At 44.5% G+C, this 17,313-nt stretch overlaps 1 protein-coding gene across 26 annotated transcripts in view, besides 1 other annotated feature; it reads right to left on the bottom strand.

The window, feature by feature from the left end:
- Positions 1–17,313, bottom strand: part of LARGE1 (LARGE xylosyl- and glucuronyltransferase 1) — an 856,162-nt gene that overhangs the window by 485,493 nt on the left and 353,356 nt on the right. For all 26 annotated transcript variants that reach the window (XR_007067993.1, XR_002958722.2, XR_007067994.1 and 23 more), the window contains one exon: positions 12,693–12,864. Coding sequence is in view for 23 of the 26 variants with exons in the window: in XM_024452302.2 (XP_024308070.1) it covers positions 12,693–12,864 (172 nt within the window). In the remaining 3 variants the exon portion in view is untranslated. The remainder of the gene's footprint in view (positions 1–12,692; positions 12,865–17,313) is intronic.
- Positions 13,805–13,874: an enhancer, noted in NCBI's record as "active region_18885". NCBI's record gives its function as "activates an Ori minimal core promoter by ATAC-STARR-seq in GM12878 lymphoblastoid cells {active_cell/tissue: GM12878}" and the evidence as "EXISTENCE:reporter gene assay evidence [ECO:0000049][PMID:35858748]".

The raw sequence follows: 17,313 nt of genomic DNA on the forward strand, positions 1-17,313 counted from the left end.
GTAACAAGTAGGTGCTCAATAAATATTTATAAATGTCTGAGCAAGAAGAGACATCATGGCAGAGCAGGCTTCCTGGAGTTCTGGATTTAATGCTGTTCTGCTTTTCAATATTTCTTCCTGATATTCTCAAAGAAATCCCAGATGTTTTTGTACCACAACTCTGTCCCTTGACCTCCCCTCTCTCCTTGCCCCCAACCTATACAAACACTTGCTTCCAGGAAACAGACAGTCAGTCTCCACATGGGAGGGCTTACCAAGAGATGGCACCTATCTCAACACGGGAGACACAAGCACGATATTTATTTACAAAAGAAAAAAAAATAGCAATGGTGCAGATGCTCCAGGACCCTGTGGTCAAACAATAAAAGTTGATCAAGGAAGAGTCTGCTAAGACCCCCAAATCCTCTCTTTGACTGACTCAGCTCTTTCTCCTTTAGTCTACAGTCCTACTCGCCCTCCTTCTCCCCTGTACAACTCAAAGATAAAAAGAAAAGCTAGAGAGATATTGCTAATAAAAATAATCACAACATATTTTCTGGATTCTAAGAGGCTGCTGATTGTACGATATATCAAAACATTTGCCAGGAGAAAAAGACCATCTGTCAAGTTGCTTTTGTAAGTCACATCTCAGTTTCGGAAATGGGAAAATGTGCAAAGTCCTGTATCATAGAACTGAGATAATATGACAAAACACCTGCAAAATACTAGGTGAATTACATATTTTGCTCCTAACATAATATTCCCATTGAGAATGAGAAGCTGAATTGCGAAGTGCCTGGAAGCGTGGGGCCTCAAACCCAGGTCTTGGAATCATCCCACTCTACAGCCTGTACTTTCCCCACTGAGATACACGGCCAGCTCTTTCCAATTAGGAGCAAACCCCCAACTCCTATGCTTTTACATAACCATTTCTCAGGCTTCTTTCCCCATCTTGACAGAGATTATTTTTGGAAATGTGTTTACTCCAAGGCCTTGTATTGTCTCCTCTGATATTAAGAACCTCTCCCATCCTGAACTGTTTAGAGGTATGTAGACAGCCATCTTATTGTGATTACAATAAAATGACTCAGCGGGGCACAGTGGCTCACGCCTGTAATCCCAGCACTTTGGGAAGCTGAGGCGGGAGGATCGCTTGAGCCCAGGAATTTGAGACCAGCCTGGGGAACAAAGTGAGACCCTGTGTCTGCAAAAATAAAAATTAAAAAAAAAAAATAGCCAGACGTGGTAGCACATGCCTACAGTCCCAACTACTCTGGAAACTGAGGTGGGAGAATCCCTTGAGTCCAGGAATTTCAGGTGGCAATGAGCTATGATCCCACGACTGCACTCCAGCCTGGGTGACACAACAAGACCCTGTCACAAAAACAAAACAAAACAAAACAAAATAGCTCTAATATTAATAACAGCAGAAGCTAACACTGTCAAGAGCTTACTGTGTCAGGTATAGCACTAAGACTTTGAAATGTATCATGTCACGTTACCCTCACGCCAATACCCCATGGGTATCATTCTCCCCATCTTGCCCACAGGAAACAGAGGTTTAGAGTTGAGCAACACCCCGACGTTGCAAAGATGGCAAGAGGATGCAAAGCAACCCCAAGGAAGGGCCCTTGACTGAGAGTAAATACTTGAGTTGGGAAAGGGAGTGGGGAAAGAAACATCTCACATCTACCTCCAGAGATGTCTTTCCTCCCCCTTGGTGAGGAGCCTAAAAGGGTCCTCCAGCTCACCTCCGTGAGAGTCTGAGCCCTGTGTGTCTAAGAAAGACCCACAACTGATAGAGAGGTCCATGGAATCCTGGTGATGGATCCGTGAGGCTCCTCACTCCCACCCAGTAAGCAGCACAGAGCTAGGGACCCAGGGCATGGCTGACTTTTCAACGCAGCGGCAGCTGGAGGCAGCAGTGAACATCATTCACTGGGTGTGGGCTGTACAAGGAGGAGCTCAGGACACAATCAGGGTGAGTCCAGTGATCCCTCCTCATGAGTTCTGCTCAGCATCCGTTCCGTTGCTCCCCCTCGCAAATCACAGCTTGCCAATCACACCGTGCCCAGTCTTTGTGCTTGCTGATTTCATCCTGCCCCCATCCAATGAGCCCTGTGTTAGATTCATCAAATCCCCTCTGCTGTCCCTGCAGGACCACGCACTACAGAGCTGCCCAACTGGATTCTACACTGGGGCTCACCTGGCCATTCAGAAAAGGAAACTGTAACAATCTGGTGAGAATACCTATTTTAACACCAAGAAAGCTCTATTTCAAGTTTATTAAAAACAACAACAACAACAAACACCTGAAGAGACCCCTGGCCCCGACCCTTCTTGTAAGATCTAGACCTGTTTACCCCATCTCTGCATGTCCAAAACCGAACTCGCCGTCCAGTGCTATTCACTCTACGTCCCCATTCATCTCTAATCTGCATCCCTTGCTCTGACTCCAAGGCTAACATCCCGCTACGGGCCACAGTGGTCTTTTGCTGAGACTGAAGCCTCCTACCTGCTGCCAACTCTTTTTGAAAGTACTGTTTTCCTGTCGCACTTTTTATATCACCCCCACACATCAGCCAAAGGGATCTTTTCAAATCTTCTAAACTGTCTTTCAATGACCTTTGGAGAAGACCCAAAGCTAACACTTAATAAGACCCTTTATACCTCTCTTACCTTATTCCCCACCACTCACTTCACCAAGAAACATCCGCTTTACTTGTTCATTTGACAAATAGTTATCGGGCACCTTCTATGTGTCAGGCACTGTTCTGTGCTGGGACATATCAGGCATAAAACAGACAAAGATCCCTGCCTTCCTGGTGCTTACACTGAGTTAGCCCACCACACCCATGGGTTCTGCATCTGTGGATTCAACCAACCTGGACTGAAAATATTTGGAAAGAAAACTGCCTCTGTACTGAATATACACAGATTTTTTTTGTCTTCTTACTATTCCCTAAACAATACAGTCTAACAACTATTTACTTAGCATTTACATTGTATTAGGAATTATAAATAATCGAGAGATGATTTAAAGCATACAGGAGGATGTCCACAGATGATGTGCAAATGCAATTTTTTATATATCAGGGACTTGAGCATCTGCAGATTTTGGTATCCGTGGGAGGTCCCTAGAAAGAACACACAATAACCAGATGGAGCCAGCTGTATCCTGGTACCTGGGTCTGTCCTCCCTATGGGGTGAGGCAGAGCAGCCCTCTTGATAAGTAATTAGATATTCATTAGAAGGTGATGAGTCCTCTTGAAAAAAAAAATATGAAAGAGCAGTAGAGAAAAATGGGATGGTGTCTCAGGCTTTAGGATTCAATGGGACAGTCAGGGAAAGCCTTGCTGAGAAGCTCAGGTTTGGGCAAAGACTCGAAGGGCTGGGATTATGGTAGCAAGACAGGGAATGATCTGGAGGAGCAGCATTCCAGGTACAGGAACATCAGAGCAGAGGGCCAAAGGTAGGAGCCTGTCTGGTCTGTTTGAAAAGTAGATTGAAGGGCCAGGCGTGGTGGCTCATGCTTGTAATCCTAGCACTTTGGGTGGCCGAGACAGGAGGATCCACTGAGGTCAGGATTTTGAGACCAGCCTGGCCAACATGGTGAAACCCCATCTCTACTAAAACTACAAAAAATTAGCCGGGTGTGGTGGCACATTCCTGTAATCCCAGCTACTCTGGAGGCTGAGACAGGAGAACTGCCTGAGCCCGGGAGGTGGAGGTTGCAGTGAGTGGAGATCACGCCACTGCACTCTAGAGTGGGTGGAGAGAGAGAGACTCCATCTCAAAAAAAAAAAAAAAAGTGTAGATTTAATGTTTATTTCAGTTTCTGTCTGTATCACTCTCTCTAATCTCTCTCTGGATCTCAGGGCTTCACATATGCTGCTCCCTCTAAGTGAGACCAGAGGCCAATGCATCCACCTCTCTCCCTTTAGAAGCCCTCCTGACTCCCTCCAACTTCCCTCACTAGCAATGCTTTCCCTAAAATGTGATTCGACCTCACCCTGACTTTTCCCTTTCAAGAGACTTTCTACACTTGCATGTAACCATGTGTTCAGATGTATCTAGAATCTAGCGGTTAAGTGTCGGCTCTGAGACCAGCCTGGCTTCAGCCCAGGTTTTGCCACTAACTTGTAGTTAGTGATTTCAGGCAACAGACTTAAAGAGTTTTATGAAGGCTAAATGAGATGGTTCAGGGCATGACACATAAAACACATTTAATAGATATTAGCAACAGGAGGGTAGAGCTAGGTCTGTCTCAGTTAATATTTTACCCCCAGGGCCTAGGGCAGGCCAAGAGCCTCAGAAGGTAGTAAATTAATGAAAGAATGAATGACTGAATGGGTGCAAAAGGCAAGGAAAGAAGGAAGGAAGGGAGGGAGGGAGGGAGGGAAGGAGGGAGGGAGGGAGGGAGGGAGGGAGGCAGGCAGGCAGGCAGGCAGGAAGGCAGGCAGGTAGGGAGGCAGGGAAGGAGGGAAGGAGGGAGAAAGGAACTCAGGAAGGTAGGGAGAGGTTAGGGTTGGTTTCTGGTCTGTGAACTCTCTGAAATTTCAGGCTGAAGAACAAGAAAAAAAAAAAAGAGGCTGGCTGCAGTGGCTCACGCCTGTAATCCCAGCACTTTGGGAGGCAGAGGTGGGCAGATTATGAGGTCAGGAGATCAAGACCAGCGTGGCCAACATGGTGAAACCCTGTCTCTAGTAAAATACAAAAAATCAGCCAGGCGTGGTGGTGCACGCCTGTAGTCCCAGCTACTCGGGAGGCTGAGGCAGGGGAATCACTTGAACCCGGGAGGCAGAGGTTGCAGTGAGCTGACATTGTGCCACTGCACTCCAGCCTGGCGACAGAGTGAGACTGTTTCACGAACAAACAAACAACCCTGAGACATACAAAGAAAAGAAGGGAACTATCACTTATTAGGTATTGTGCAATACAGAGCCATTACCTGACTTAATCACCAAAATAAACCCTATGGGGCGGTTATTAATGTATCATTCTCTCATTTTTATAGAACAACAACAAAAACGAGGCTCTGAGAAGTTAAATGATCTTTCTAATATATAAGACAAGGCAGATTTGCTTCAAAGTTAATCTGAAAATAATTAAAACCTCTTCACCCAATTCTGCCAGGGAAAAAAATCCTTGGTGTTGCTTCAATGGTGTACATCTTGGCTGGACCAATGGAAGAACCAGTAGTGTCTATCAAGAAAATCAAAGCGCTAGTTTCTGATTCTGAGTAGAAGGCAGGCTGGTTAAGAGAGGCAGAGAAAGCAGGAGGGTACAAGGAGGAAATAATGGAAGAGGTCATCAAAATTTTCCAAGTGGAAAATCAACTAGGAGCTAGAGGACGTTAAAGACCTAAACAAAACCATGAAAACTGGTAGTGAGGAGGGAACTTTATCAATACTGGGAGTGCAGGAGAACTTTTTATTTATTTATTTTTTGAGACAGTCTCGCTCTGTCGCCCAGGCTGGAGTGCAGTGGTGCAATCTTGGCTCACTGCAACCTCTGCCTCCAGGGTTCAAGCAATTCTCCTGCCTCAGCCTCCCAAGTAGCTGGAATTACAGGTGACTGCCACCATGCCTGGCTAATTTTTTATATTTTTAGTAGAGATGGGGTTTCGCCATGTTTGCCAGGCTGGTCTTCAACTCCTGACCTCAGGTGATCCACCCGCCTTAGCCTCCTGAAGTGCTGGGATTATGGGCACGAGCCACTAAGCCCGGCCCAGGAGAACTTCTAAAGGCCCCGTACAGATTAAAAAGAAATGCCCAGGACTTTTAACAAAACTGTATGATTGCTGACCAAGAACAGGCCAAGCCTCGCCCTTTCCCAGCTGAATTCCAGCGCCTTCTGTACTAGAAGCACATCACCTCTACAGACACCAGCTGTTGGTGTCATTTTAAAGCACTTTGAGAATTTCATCTTTTAAAATTTATGTTTTTCTTCCCCGGGGCAAAACAGTCTCTCAAGTTTAGGAACTGTCAGGAGTGAATGTGAGATGCGTGGAAATCTGTCCATGTTGAGCCCTAGAAGGGGGCACACTGGGCCAGCCAAGAAGGGAAGCCTTTAATCAGGAAAATCTGACTGGCATAAGGTCATGGGATTGTCTTGAAAGGTCTTCTTTGATTCCTTTCCTATGGGCTAACAGGGCGGGGGACACTGAGCTTCATTTGGAGATAAGGGAAGGCAGGAAAGGAGATTTAAAGTCAAATAAAAAGGGGCCAATGGGACAACACCAAACTTAACCACAGGAGAGAGGAGGAAGGAAAGGGGAAAGAAACACGCAAGGTCCAAGTGTCCGTCAGGTACCAGGATCACTGAATCACCTCCTCAAATTTCACACAACCACTGTGAGCAGATATCAGTATCTTCTTTCTACAGGTGCAGAAGCGAGGTCAAGAGTGGTTCAATGACCTCCCTTAGATCACCCTGCTGATAAAGTAGACCAGCAGGGACTTGAAGCTTGGTCTCTTTTTTGCTAAGCTCTTCTGACTCCACCAATTCCATCAGAGGAGACAGGCAGGGCGGCAAGGTAACAAAGAAAGACAAGACCTGAAGAAACTTCAAAGAGCATTAAAAACTCCTTCGAGGCAACTGATTATAAGCATAAAATTTCTACAAATGTCTTTTCAAAAGTAATACTTCAATGTTCTTCATGTTCAGCTTTTCTACATTATTGTACAGCCCCAATGGCTCTGTGGACAGAACTGTGAGGAAATGGAGCAGACACACATTAACGATGTCTGCCATCATCCCATTCACTCTGGCAGGAGTCCTTAGAGAAAATGGAATGTGGAAAAATAATGCACATTATCTTGTACAATTCTCACAAAGACCCCGTTAGCATTATTCCTTCTCTGAGCCTAAATCAACTAAGATAACCTGCTGTCTTATTCAGTTTGAGCTGCTATAACAAAATATCTGACACCGGGTAATTTATAAGCAACAGAAATTTATTGCTTGCAGTTCTAGAGGCTGGGCAGTCCAAGATCAAGGCTCCGGCAGATCAGATGCATGGTGAGAACTCTCTGCTTCATTGATGGTACACCTTTTTTTTGAGACGCAGTCTTGCTCTTGTTGCCCAGGCTGGAGTGCAATGGTGTGATCTTGGCATACTGCAACCTCTGCCTCCCGGTTTCAAGTGATTCTATTGCCTCAGCCTCCTGAGTAGCTGGGATTACAGGCACACACCACCACGCCCAGCTAGTTTTTGTATTTTTAGTAGAGACGGGGTTTCGCCATGTTGGCCAGGCTGGTCTCAAACTCCTGACCTCAGGTGATCCACCCCCCTCGGCCTCCCAAAGTGCTGGGATTACAAACGTGAGCCACCACACCCTGCTGATGGTATCCCTTTAACTGTGTCCTCACATATAAGGGATGAACAAGGTCTGTCAAGCCTCTTTCATAAAGGTACTAACCCCATTCATACAGCTGTCATGAGGTAATCACCTCCTAAAGGCTCTACTCTTAACGCCATTGCACTGGGGGTTAGGTTTCAACATAGGAACTTTGCGAGGACACAAACCTTCAGGCCACAGCATCTGCCCACGCTGACAGAGTCATCAGGGTGATCCTGCCTTATTCTCTGGACATGCTGAGTCTCTGGGTAGAGCTCTTGGACCCCAACTACAGCTACTTAAAGATGATGTTCTCGGAGGTCACATGCTGGGCCAGAATTCTGGAGACTGAGATTTTATTTCTCGAATCCTGTGAAAACTACACTTTTCTATGCTAATTTTGCTTCCCTGCCTTTGTTCTCTGAATGCCTAGATCGCCTTGGGCCCGCCCTCTACAACCTGGTGTATATGGTCACTTTGAGTTCTTTCACGAATCTAACTTCGGTCTCTCCAAAGACACTCTTAACTCCACCCACATGACAATGATTTCTCTTACTCCTCTTCAAGGGAAAGGAGGGTGCAGAGTAAAGAGGACTGGATTCAAAGTTAGACTGTTTGGGTTCAAATCTCGGTTTCATGACTTAAGAAATGTGAGACTCCAGGTAAACTATGCCTCCCTAAGCATCAGCTCCCAAATCTCTAAAATAGGAACATCAACAGTAATCACTTCATGGGAGGGTTGTGAGGATTAAATGAGTTTATCCATAAAGTCCTTAACAGAGTGGCTGGCACAGACTAAGTGCTTAAACATGTTAGTTGTAAGGAACAACACAGAGTCTATTAGGCCCTGAATGATACCCAGTGGCATGGCACATCTGCGGTGCCGTGAGGGTGAGGAAGGCAGTGCCCATGTACGCTGGATAGTTTGACCATACCTGCTGTAGGGTGAGAATTTTACTCTGTGGCACTAAGATCCTCTTAGAGGGGAGGCATCTGTGCTTATGGATCAAATCACTATCTTGAATATTCAGCACGGCCTTCTTCCAAAAGCTTCAGATTATGGGTGTGTATTTATTATTTATGCCTTCACAACAGCCTCCCCAAATGACAACAATCACATATTATTTCCAGTGTTTTGTGCAGTAAAAACTAAGGCATGCAGGGGTCCAAGGTGACACGTACTCAGCAGTCACACCCGTTCTAAGTGCAGTACAGCCTCCTGGGTCAGTGGACAGAGCACAGACTCCAAAGCCGTATGGATTGGGGTTCAGTTTCACTATGTAATAGCTCTCTGAGCATGAAAAGTAATTTAATCTCTCTTGAGCCCAGTTTATTTAACTTTTTTTTTTTTTTTGAGACAGAGTCTTGCTCTGTCACCCAGGCTGGAGTGCAGTGGCGCCATCTCGGCTTACTGCAAGCTCTGCCTCCCAGGTTCACGCCATTCTCCTGCCTCAGCCTCCCGAGTAGCTGGGACTACAGGCGTCCGCCACCACGCCCAGCTAATTTTTTGTATTTTTAGTAGAAATGGGGTTTCACCGTGTTAGCCAGGATGGTTTCGATCTCCTGACCTCGTGATCTGCCGGGCTCGGCCTCCCAAAGTGCTGGGATTACAGGCGTGAGCCATCAGTTTATTTAACTTTCAAGTGTGCAAAGCTTCTAGCTCAGTGCCTAGAACCTAAGACGTGCTTAAGAAATGGTAGTTAGCTTTCCCTCTGTTTTACAAACACTCATTTAGCCACCTGCCTCCTCACCAGCTCCACCATTGTAATGGTGTGTTGAATTTGCGCCTTCCATTGAAGAACCAGGGGCTGCCCCAGGCTGGTTTTCTCTGGTACGCCAGGGAGAGGACAAGGTCAGGCTCCCAGTGGCAGAGTAGTTGGTAGTCAGACAGGTGTAAACTGAACACAGGTCAGACAAGAGCTGCAAGGACATCTGCCTATGAAAATAAGTTTCCCATGTGAGGGACCCCTGCCAGGTATACCAGAAGTATCTCGTGAGAAGCATACCATACCCATGTCCAGCTCCCCTGAATGTTCTGTTAGGACAGGGCTGCTAGCCACTCTGGTACTAGCACCCCGGTGTAGCTACGGGCTCACCAAACAGTCTTATTCTTGCAACAGTCCCAACAGTAAGCTATTTGGCACCTAGAAGGAGCTCAGTAAATATTGACCGAATGGGTGGCTCCTGACCCTGGCCAATAATGGTATGTCTGATTCTTTCTGCTAAGAATTGGTGGTTCTGAAAATCTTCCAGCTGTTGGTGCAGGCTGGGTAAAGGTGCAAACCGCTGACATAGGAGGGAGGTATCTGCTACTTAGCTGAAGTCGAGCTCAGGGAAGATGGGGACATCTCTAAGAGGCTTCTTCTGGTAGAGGCTGAGGATGGGTCTAACTCCTGAAAAAGGCTTCTTTGTAATTCTCCCGGTAATGAATTTAGGAACAAGGGGCTTTCACAGCGCCACAAAGGAATCAAGCGCAATCTGACCAAGAGCCACTGCAGCCCCAGACAACCAGCTGTTCTCAAAAAGTGAAAAATTAGCCAGGCCACATTGTATCAACATCACTCCAACCGTTTACAGTGAAGGATGTCAACGACAATTGCCTTTATGAAGGACACTCTCTCTTGGATCAGAACATTCTACATTTATGCGCCTGACTTAACAGGCTTTCTTCCTATTCCATGACCTGGCTTCTAATAGTTTGGTTTAGAAAAACAATCACACACATACAAAAGTGATACAAAATAGGGACATATGGAGAAGAGATGAGCTTTACTTATTTTCTTTTCACCTCTGTATTTTTCCAGAAAAATTAGGGTGGGCATGGGAAAACTTCTGATGTTTTGTACTCCTTTGCTGGTGATAGATAAAAACGCAATGCACTCTGCCTTGTTTCTGAGTTCCTTGAAGGCAGGTGCTGTGTTCTCAACAGCTTTAGGGAACAACAGCATCTAATCTATTCCTCTTCACAGTGGGGGCCTAACAAATGCTAGAAATAAACCAACAAAAGAATGAACAAATAAAATGCAGCCCATTAACTCAGCTCCTTGCATTCAAATTTACCTTGTCCCTGTCCTGACCTTGGCCCATATACCCTACTCAACCCCAGGAGCTGCCTTGAATCTGAGAGTCCTCCAAATCAAGTCCTTGGGCCAGCTATGGGAGCAGCAAGAGCTCTGGTGCCTTCCCTTCCACGGATGATATCAGCGTATTTAAAATAACCATGACAATTCACGTTGTTATTGGCTACAGAGCGCCACTAGCACTATAGCCATTGCAAGCTGCAAGAGAATAAACGTGATTTCCTAGCTACAGCTCTACAATCTCTGATGACCTGTTCTGGTGACTATGGTGGTTATACTTATCCAACGGAGACTTACAGCTCTAAATATATGCTGTGGGTTGAGTTTCTTTGGAAAAAGACCCCGAGATGGATGTCAGCATACAAGAGGTTTATTAGAGAGAGCTCTTGAGAACAGCACCTATGAAAGGGAAGGGGAGAAAGCAGGACTAGGCAGAGGGGAAAATCAGCCTGTGAGGCAGTATCCGAGTGTGGCAGATGATCCTGCAGGACCTCATGTTCATCAGCCATTCCGTGATGTGGGGTGTCCCACGAAGGGGTGTGGCCACAGGCATGGCCACTCACTTCAACAGAGGCAACTGCAAAAAGGGCTGATGCCTTTTCTGAGAGCCCCCGCTGCAGGGACTGCTCCCACCAGCTGGCGTAATAAGGCCTTTATTCCCAAAGGAAAATGTGGGAGTCTAGTACATACGACCACCATTCTCATCTGATGAGACAGAGCACAATTAGGAGCTCCTCCGTGACACCTTCCCAGCTACCTTCTCTAACCCCCTCTAGGAGAGGTGACAACTCTCACTGTCCCCTCATTACTCATCTCCTCATTTGCAGAGCCCGTCACACTGCTTCACACCCAGTAGGGATTCGATAAACGCCAGTTGAAGAAATGCATCACTGAACACTCAACATCAGCATAAGAAAATGAATAAAACACCATGTAATTATAGAAAAACTGCCCCTCGTGAGTTCACTGTGATCAGGAAGAGAAAAACAAACAGACACGATAGGGGAACTTGAAAAGAGCAGCGGATGGAAGCCAAGACACGGGCACTCTGATCTCAACTCTGGGAAAAGCCTGCATCCCTCTAAGCTTCCGTTTCTTTCTTTATGAAACAAAAGGACACGTCCACACGTTCTATGAAGATTAGAGAGCTGTGCCATACTCAATTTCAACAGCTGTCCTAAATGATGTCATTGTTAGTGTCATTATTGACACGAATAAGAAAAGTAAATTTTGATCCTGATAAGGGAAAGAGTCCCGGGGATCAAAATGTCATTCCCATGATTTGGTGAAGACTTTCCTCAATTAGCCCAGAGCTCAGAAGCCCTGAGAAGGAAGCAGGGAGTGACCAGGGCAAGCAAGGAAATTTACTCTCTGTTCATGAATAGAAACAGAAACCAACAGGAATATCCTGTGATTTATGAAAATGCTGGGATTTAAAATCATTAAGTAGTATTTTGCTTTCATAGGATATGGAGCTAAGAGGAATGGCAGAAGGGATTTTAAACACAGAAGGGGCTAGCGTGCAATTAAAAAAATATATAAAACTAAAAATTTCACTGTCGAATTTCTTTCTCATTGTACTCATCCAGTATAGAAGAATTTTTAAAATAATATAATTTTTAAAAAGACATCTGGGAGAGGGGTATTAAAATAACAGCCTAAGATTTGTGCTAACCTGCCACTTCTCTCACATATCCATGCCACAGTTAGTACACCTACTGAGCTCACAATTTCCCCCTAGGTACTCTCATATACCTTGAGGCCGTGACGAGAGTTACAATAATAGCTATAAAGAAACCCACCAGACTAGAAAGAACGTCTTGTAAAGAAAGCCAAATACATACATCTCCTTAAAATGATAAACCACAACGTTAATGAAAGCAAAAGCCATATGAACATTTTCAAAAACTCTAGAATCAATACTCATCTCTACTACCTCACAGGCTTTCTTGGCAATTAGACTATCCTTCGATAAAAAGAAAACCAATGAACACACGTCCCGACCAGTATGTGAACACTCCGCTATCTGCATACAAAATACACACATTTGATATTTATCTGTTAAAAACATCTTCATTTACTAAAGACATGTAAACAAGTTTCTGTTTTACTCTATTATTTTTCAAATCCAAGCAGAGTTGATATTGAACCATATTTGTAATTCCTCACCCACTGCATTAGCACGACCTCATTCGAGGAGACCTCACCTTTTTAAAAAAGTCAACCCCTATTCTTGGCATGCTGATACCTACAAGGATATCGGGGAAAAAACGAATGGGCTACCATTACCTTTGAACTTGTGGAACACAGCCCACAGCTCTGCAATGTCAGTGGCAAAGGTGATATCCGTGTCAAGGACGATGACTCTCTCCAGGTTGGCAGGAAGAGTCTTGGTCAGGACAAGCTTCATCAGACCATAAATCCCAGAGTAATGTTTATTGGGGATCCAGGAAACTTCAGACTAGACAGAACAAGGCAGAGAGAGAGTTGGAGAAAGGGAAAAAAAATTGCTATATTAATTCTTTGCTTAAACATTATAAATAGTGCCTAGCACACAAAAAGTATCCAATAAAAATTTGTTGAATAAATGAATGAGTTTTCTTTTAAAGATTTATATAATTTGCATTTTGACATGTGAAGTTTTCTGGAGGAAAATGTATCTGAATTAAGGGAGAGGAAAAGTAATAGTTATGAAATAATTATTACTGCAAATCCTATGTTGAGATTTTTAAATAAAACTTTTGTTATTATAGAAATTAAATAGATCCACTAGAGAAAAAAAGGATATGCAAAAACATAAAGGTCCAAAAATTGAATCCCACTACAAATACTTTTGCAACCAGTATCAAATTGTTCCTATGTACGTATATTTCTTTAAATCATATTCCATTTACGTGTCATTAAAGATTAGTGGGCAGTAGTATTGTTAAAGCTTATGCTTATTCTTTTAAAACTGTAATTGAATAGATTACTACTGCTGCCTTCTCTTTATTCTCAGATAAATAAGAGGACCTAGTCATCACGCGACACTCTTCACCTGACAGCAATAGAGGACACACACATAGGACAGAAGGAGGACCTAGTCATCACGTGACACTCTTCACCTCCTAGTCAAGGAGGACCTAGTCATCACGCGACACTCTTCACCTGACAGCAATAGAGGACACACACATAGGACAGAAATGAACCACCCATGGAGCACTGACATTATGATCCTCACATAACATAATGGAACAATCAATGGCTTGCAGGTGGGCAGAGTCATCAGCGAGGTACACACACGGGTGCCATTTTGTGTCCAAAGGCAAGGATAAAAATAAAAGCACCAGTGTGATGAAAGCTCTCATCTATGCACAGTCATTTATGAAGATCACTGTGGGCAGAGGCCCCAACCTAGCTGCCATGGGGAGTTTCCATGGGAGCCAAAGCACACTTATTTTCAAGAGGGTAACACTTTTAATAGAACCCTTTAAAACAGGGAACATGGCCACCTTCTCAGGATTCCAAAAAATATTGATCTCCTTTGACCTTACAAATACCATGTTGAGGAGATGTTCTTAAAAAAATTCAAATTTAAAAATTTTGTTTTAGACACCAAAGTTTTATTCCCAAAGATGTTCATCACCATGTTACCAAAGAACAGCCATCAAAATGCCCCAAAATGGAACAATTAATTCAAACATGATACTCTTGTTTTTCTGATAGCATACTATGTAATTGTTTAAAACAATGTGGATCAAGATATAATTTCTAAAAACCTGCATATGATGTTAAAGGGGAAAAAAGCAAGCTTTAAAACTGCTTTTACTTAAAAACAACTACGTGTAATCAAACCAAATGAAACACATTCACCCAAATCTATGCAAAGGAAGAAAAAAATAGCAGCAAGACATCAAACTGTGTGCGGAGCTGGCTCCTTCCGGGGGGTTCTTGGTCTCGCTGACTTCAAGAGTGAAGCTGTGGACCTTTGTGGTGAGTATCACAGCTCTTAAAGGTGGCGCAGACCCAAAGAGTGAGCAGCAGCAAGATTTACTGTGAAGAGCGAAAGAACAAAGCTTCCACAGCTTGGAAGGGAAGCCGAGAGGGATGCCGCTGCTGGCTGGGGTGGCCAGCTTTTATTCCCTTATTTCTCCCTGCCCACATCCTGCTGATTGGTCCATTTTACAGAGCACTGATTGGTCATTTTACAGAGTGCTGATTGGTCCATTTTATAAAGTGCTGATTGGTGTGTGTTTACAATCCTTTAGCTAGACACAGAGCACTGATGGTACATTTTTACAGAGTGCTAACTGATGCATTTACAATCCTTTCGCTAGACATAAAAGTTCTCCAAGTCCCCATTTGACCCAGGAAGTCCAGCTGGCTTCACCTCTCATCAATTTCAAAAAAAGCATCCCCAACTCTGTGTATGAGTCCCTGTCACCCTACACCCAGGCATCATGGAGGTGGGGAAAAAGGACAGAAGTTCAAATCTGGGCTCTAGCCCCACACAAAGCATTTGATCTCTCTAAGCCTTGGTTTCTTTACCTGTAAAATGGAGTGTGTTTCAGAGATGGAATGGGTCTCATGAGTCAGCATGGGGAACCTGTCTCATAGCTGCCCTAAATTGGCCTCCTGTGTGCCACCATCACTAGACTATGATGTTAGAAAAAAATGTGGTTACTTAGTTTTTTTTTAAGAGTAGTTGCTCATTTTTAAAAGTTGGTAAAATGGAGACGATGCCTACTTCACACAGTGGTATAAAAATTAAATTATATTAAAGGACTCAAGGGCGTGGTACACAAAATATACTCAGTAATAAGCTCCCGCCCTTCTTCCTGATCCCTCTATCTTATTCCATGTATTTAGCTATCAGTGCCTCTTTTGGTGCTTCCAGATGAAGGTAAGGGTCTGTGGGATGTATGCAGGAGAGCAAAACACCCTGGGTGGTAGATTCAGGCATGCCTGGATTTAGATTCTAGTATCATCACTTAATCGCCATGTCACCTTGGACAGGTTTGCTCAGCTTTTCTGAGTTTCTGCTATTTATAAAGGTCATGATTTCTTTTTTAAAAAATTTTTAATTTTAGATTCTGGGGGTACACACGCATTTTTGTTACATGGGTACACTGTGTAATGGTGGAGACTGGACTTCCAGTATACCTGTCACCTGAATGTTGAACACTGTATCCAGCAGGCAATTTCTCACCCCTCACACAGCTCTCACCCTCCCCTCTTTTGGAGACCCCAGTGTCTATTATTTCCAGCTTTGTATCCAGGTATGCCCGTTGTTTAGCTTCCATCTGTAAGTGAGAACATGTGATATTTGATTTTCTGCTTCTGAGTTAGTTCACTTAGGATAATGGCCTCCAGCTCCATCCATGTTGCTACACTTACTTCATCCTATCAGGCAGTGTGTGGGTGGAAACAGCACACTCTCCTGGGGAATCTAAGGAAGATTTAATAAAAGGACTATTTAATCTAAGTATATGCAGAATTAGGGGCAGTAACAAGAACCGTGCAGTTACTTGAGGAGGGGAAGAGTACTTGGGGCCATTACCACCCCAAGGCCAAAAGGGCCCAGGCCAGCAGATGCTGGAATCCAGAGAGAATTGCTGTTTGAGTAAGGCCACCTGGCTGAGGCAGTGACCTTCAGCAGAGGGACACAGCCTACCTGTGGCAACGCATAAGCCAGAACAGGAAAAAACATCTCAACCTCACTTCCCTCCTGCCCACCAGTCTCCCGGGAGGGCAGCCCTCCAGTCAACCCTAACGGAAACCAGAGCGAAAGCGAGACTAGAGATGCTTTATGCATCAGCCTCATGGAGCATAAAGTGAGGGTTACGGCAAGAGAGGACCTAGAAGGAAAAACCTCACACAACCGAGTCATACAGTTAACACAAGGGCAAATTAAATGAACAACAACAAAATCAAAGCACAATGCCCTGGCTGGGCGCAGTGGCTCACGCCTGTAATCCCAGAACTTTAGGAGGCTGAGGTGGGCGGATCCCCTGAGGTTGGGAGTTCGAGACCAGCCTGAACAACAGGGAGAAATGCCATCTCTACTAAAAATACAAAATTAGCCGGGTGTGGTGGTGCATGTCTGTAATCCCAGCTACTCGGGAGGCTGAGGCAGGAGAATCACTTGAACCTAGGAAGCGGAAGTTGCGGTGAGCAGAGATCGCACCATTGCACTCCAGCCTGGGCAACAAAAGCGAAACTCAGTCTCAAAAAAAAAAAAAAAAAAATAAGCACAATGCCTTGTATATAATAGGTACAAAACACATATCTGGAACAGATGGATGGATGGATGGATGAATGCATGGATGGATGGATGGATGGATGGATGATGGATGGCAGGCAGGCATAGGAAGGCGGGCGATTTGTCTACAATCCCACAGCCAGCAAGATGCAAAGCTCTAAGAGTCAGAATTTGCCAGGAGAAGGTTTGTGTTCTTTCCCCAAACTACATTATCCTTCCTTTAGAGTGAGCCATCACCGTTAAGATCCGAGGACTCAGTGAGGAATTCCCTCCCATGTGCTTTATAAACATCTTCCTCATGAAAGCCCTGGCCTTTGGAGCTCAGCTCAGCTTCCTCTCTCCTCTAGCAATCTGCCTGAACTGAGGCTTGGCAATCATTAGTCCATGCTGCAGAGCTGTGCTATTTAATCAGACCTTTGATTAACTTATTCATCTATTTTGGTTACCATCAAAGCAGGAGAGCTGGGTGAAGACTGAACACGAGAGTGATGGGTTAAGCTGTCTAATTAGATTGCCCTGACTCTCCGTTTTATTTTTAACACACATGTGAGGCACTCAGTTACACTGCAAAACAGGAAGACTACAGGAATAAATTAATCTCAACATGAGCCCAGTCCTGAATGTCACTCCAAGTCCCCAACTTAATACATAATCAATTAAGTCCAAGTG

The sequence above is a fragment of the Homo sapiens genome, chromosome 22 (assembly GCF_000001405.40).
Source record: "Homo sapiens chromosome 22, GRCh38.p14 Primary Assembly".
NCBI lineage: Eukaryota > Metazoa > Chordata > Mammalia > Primates > Hominidae > Homo > Homo sapiens.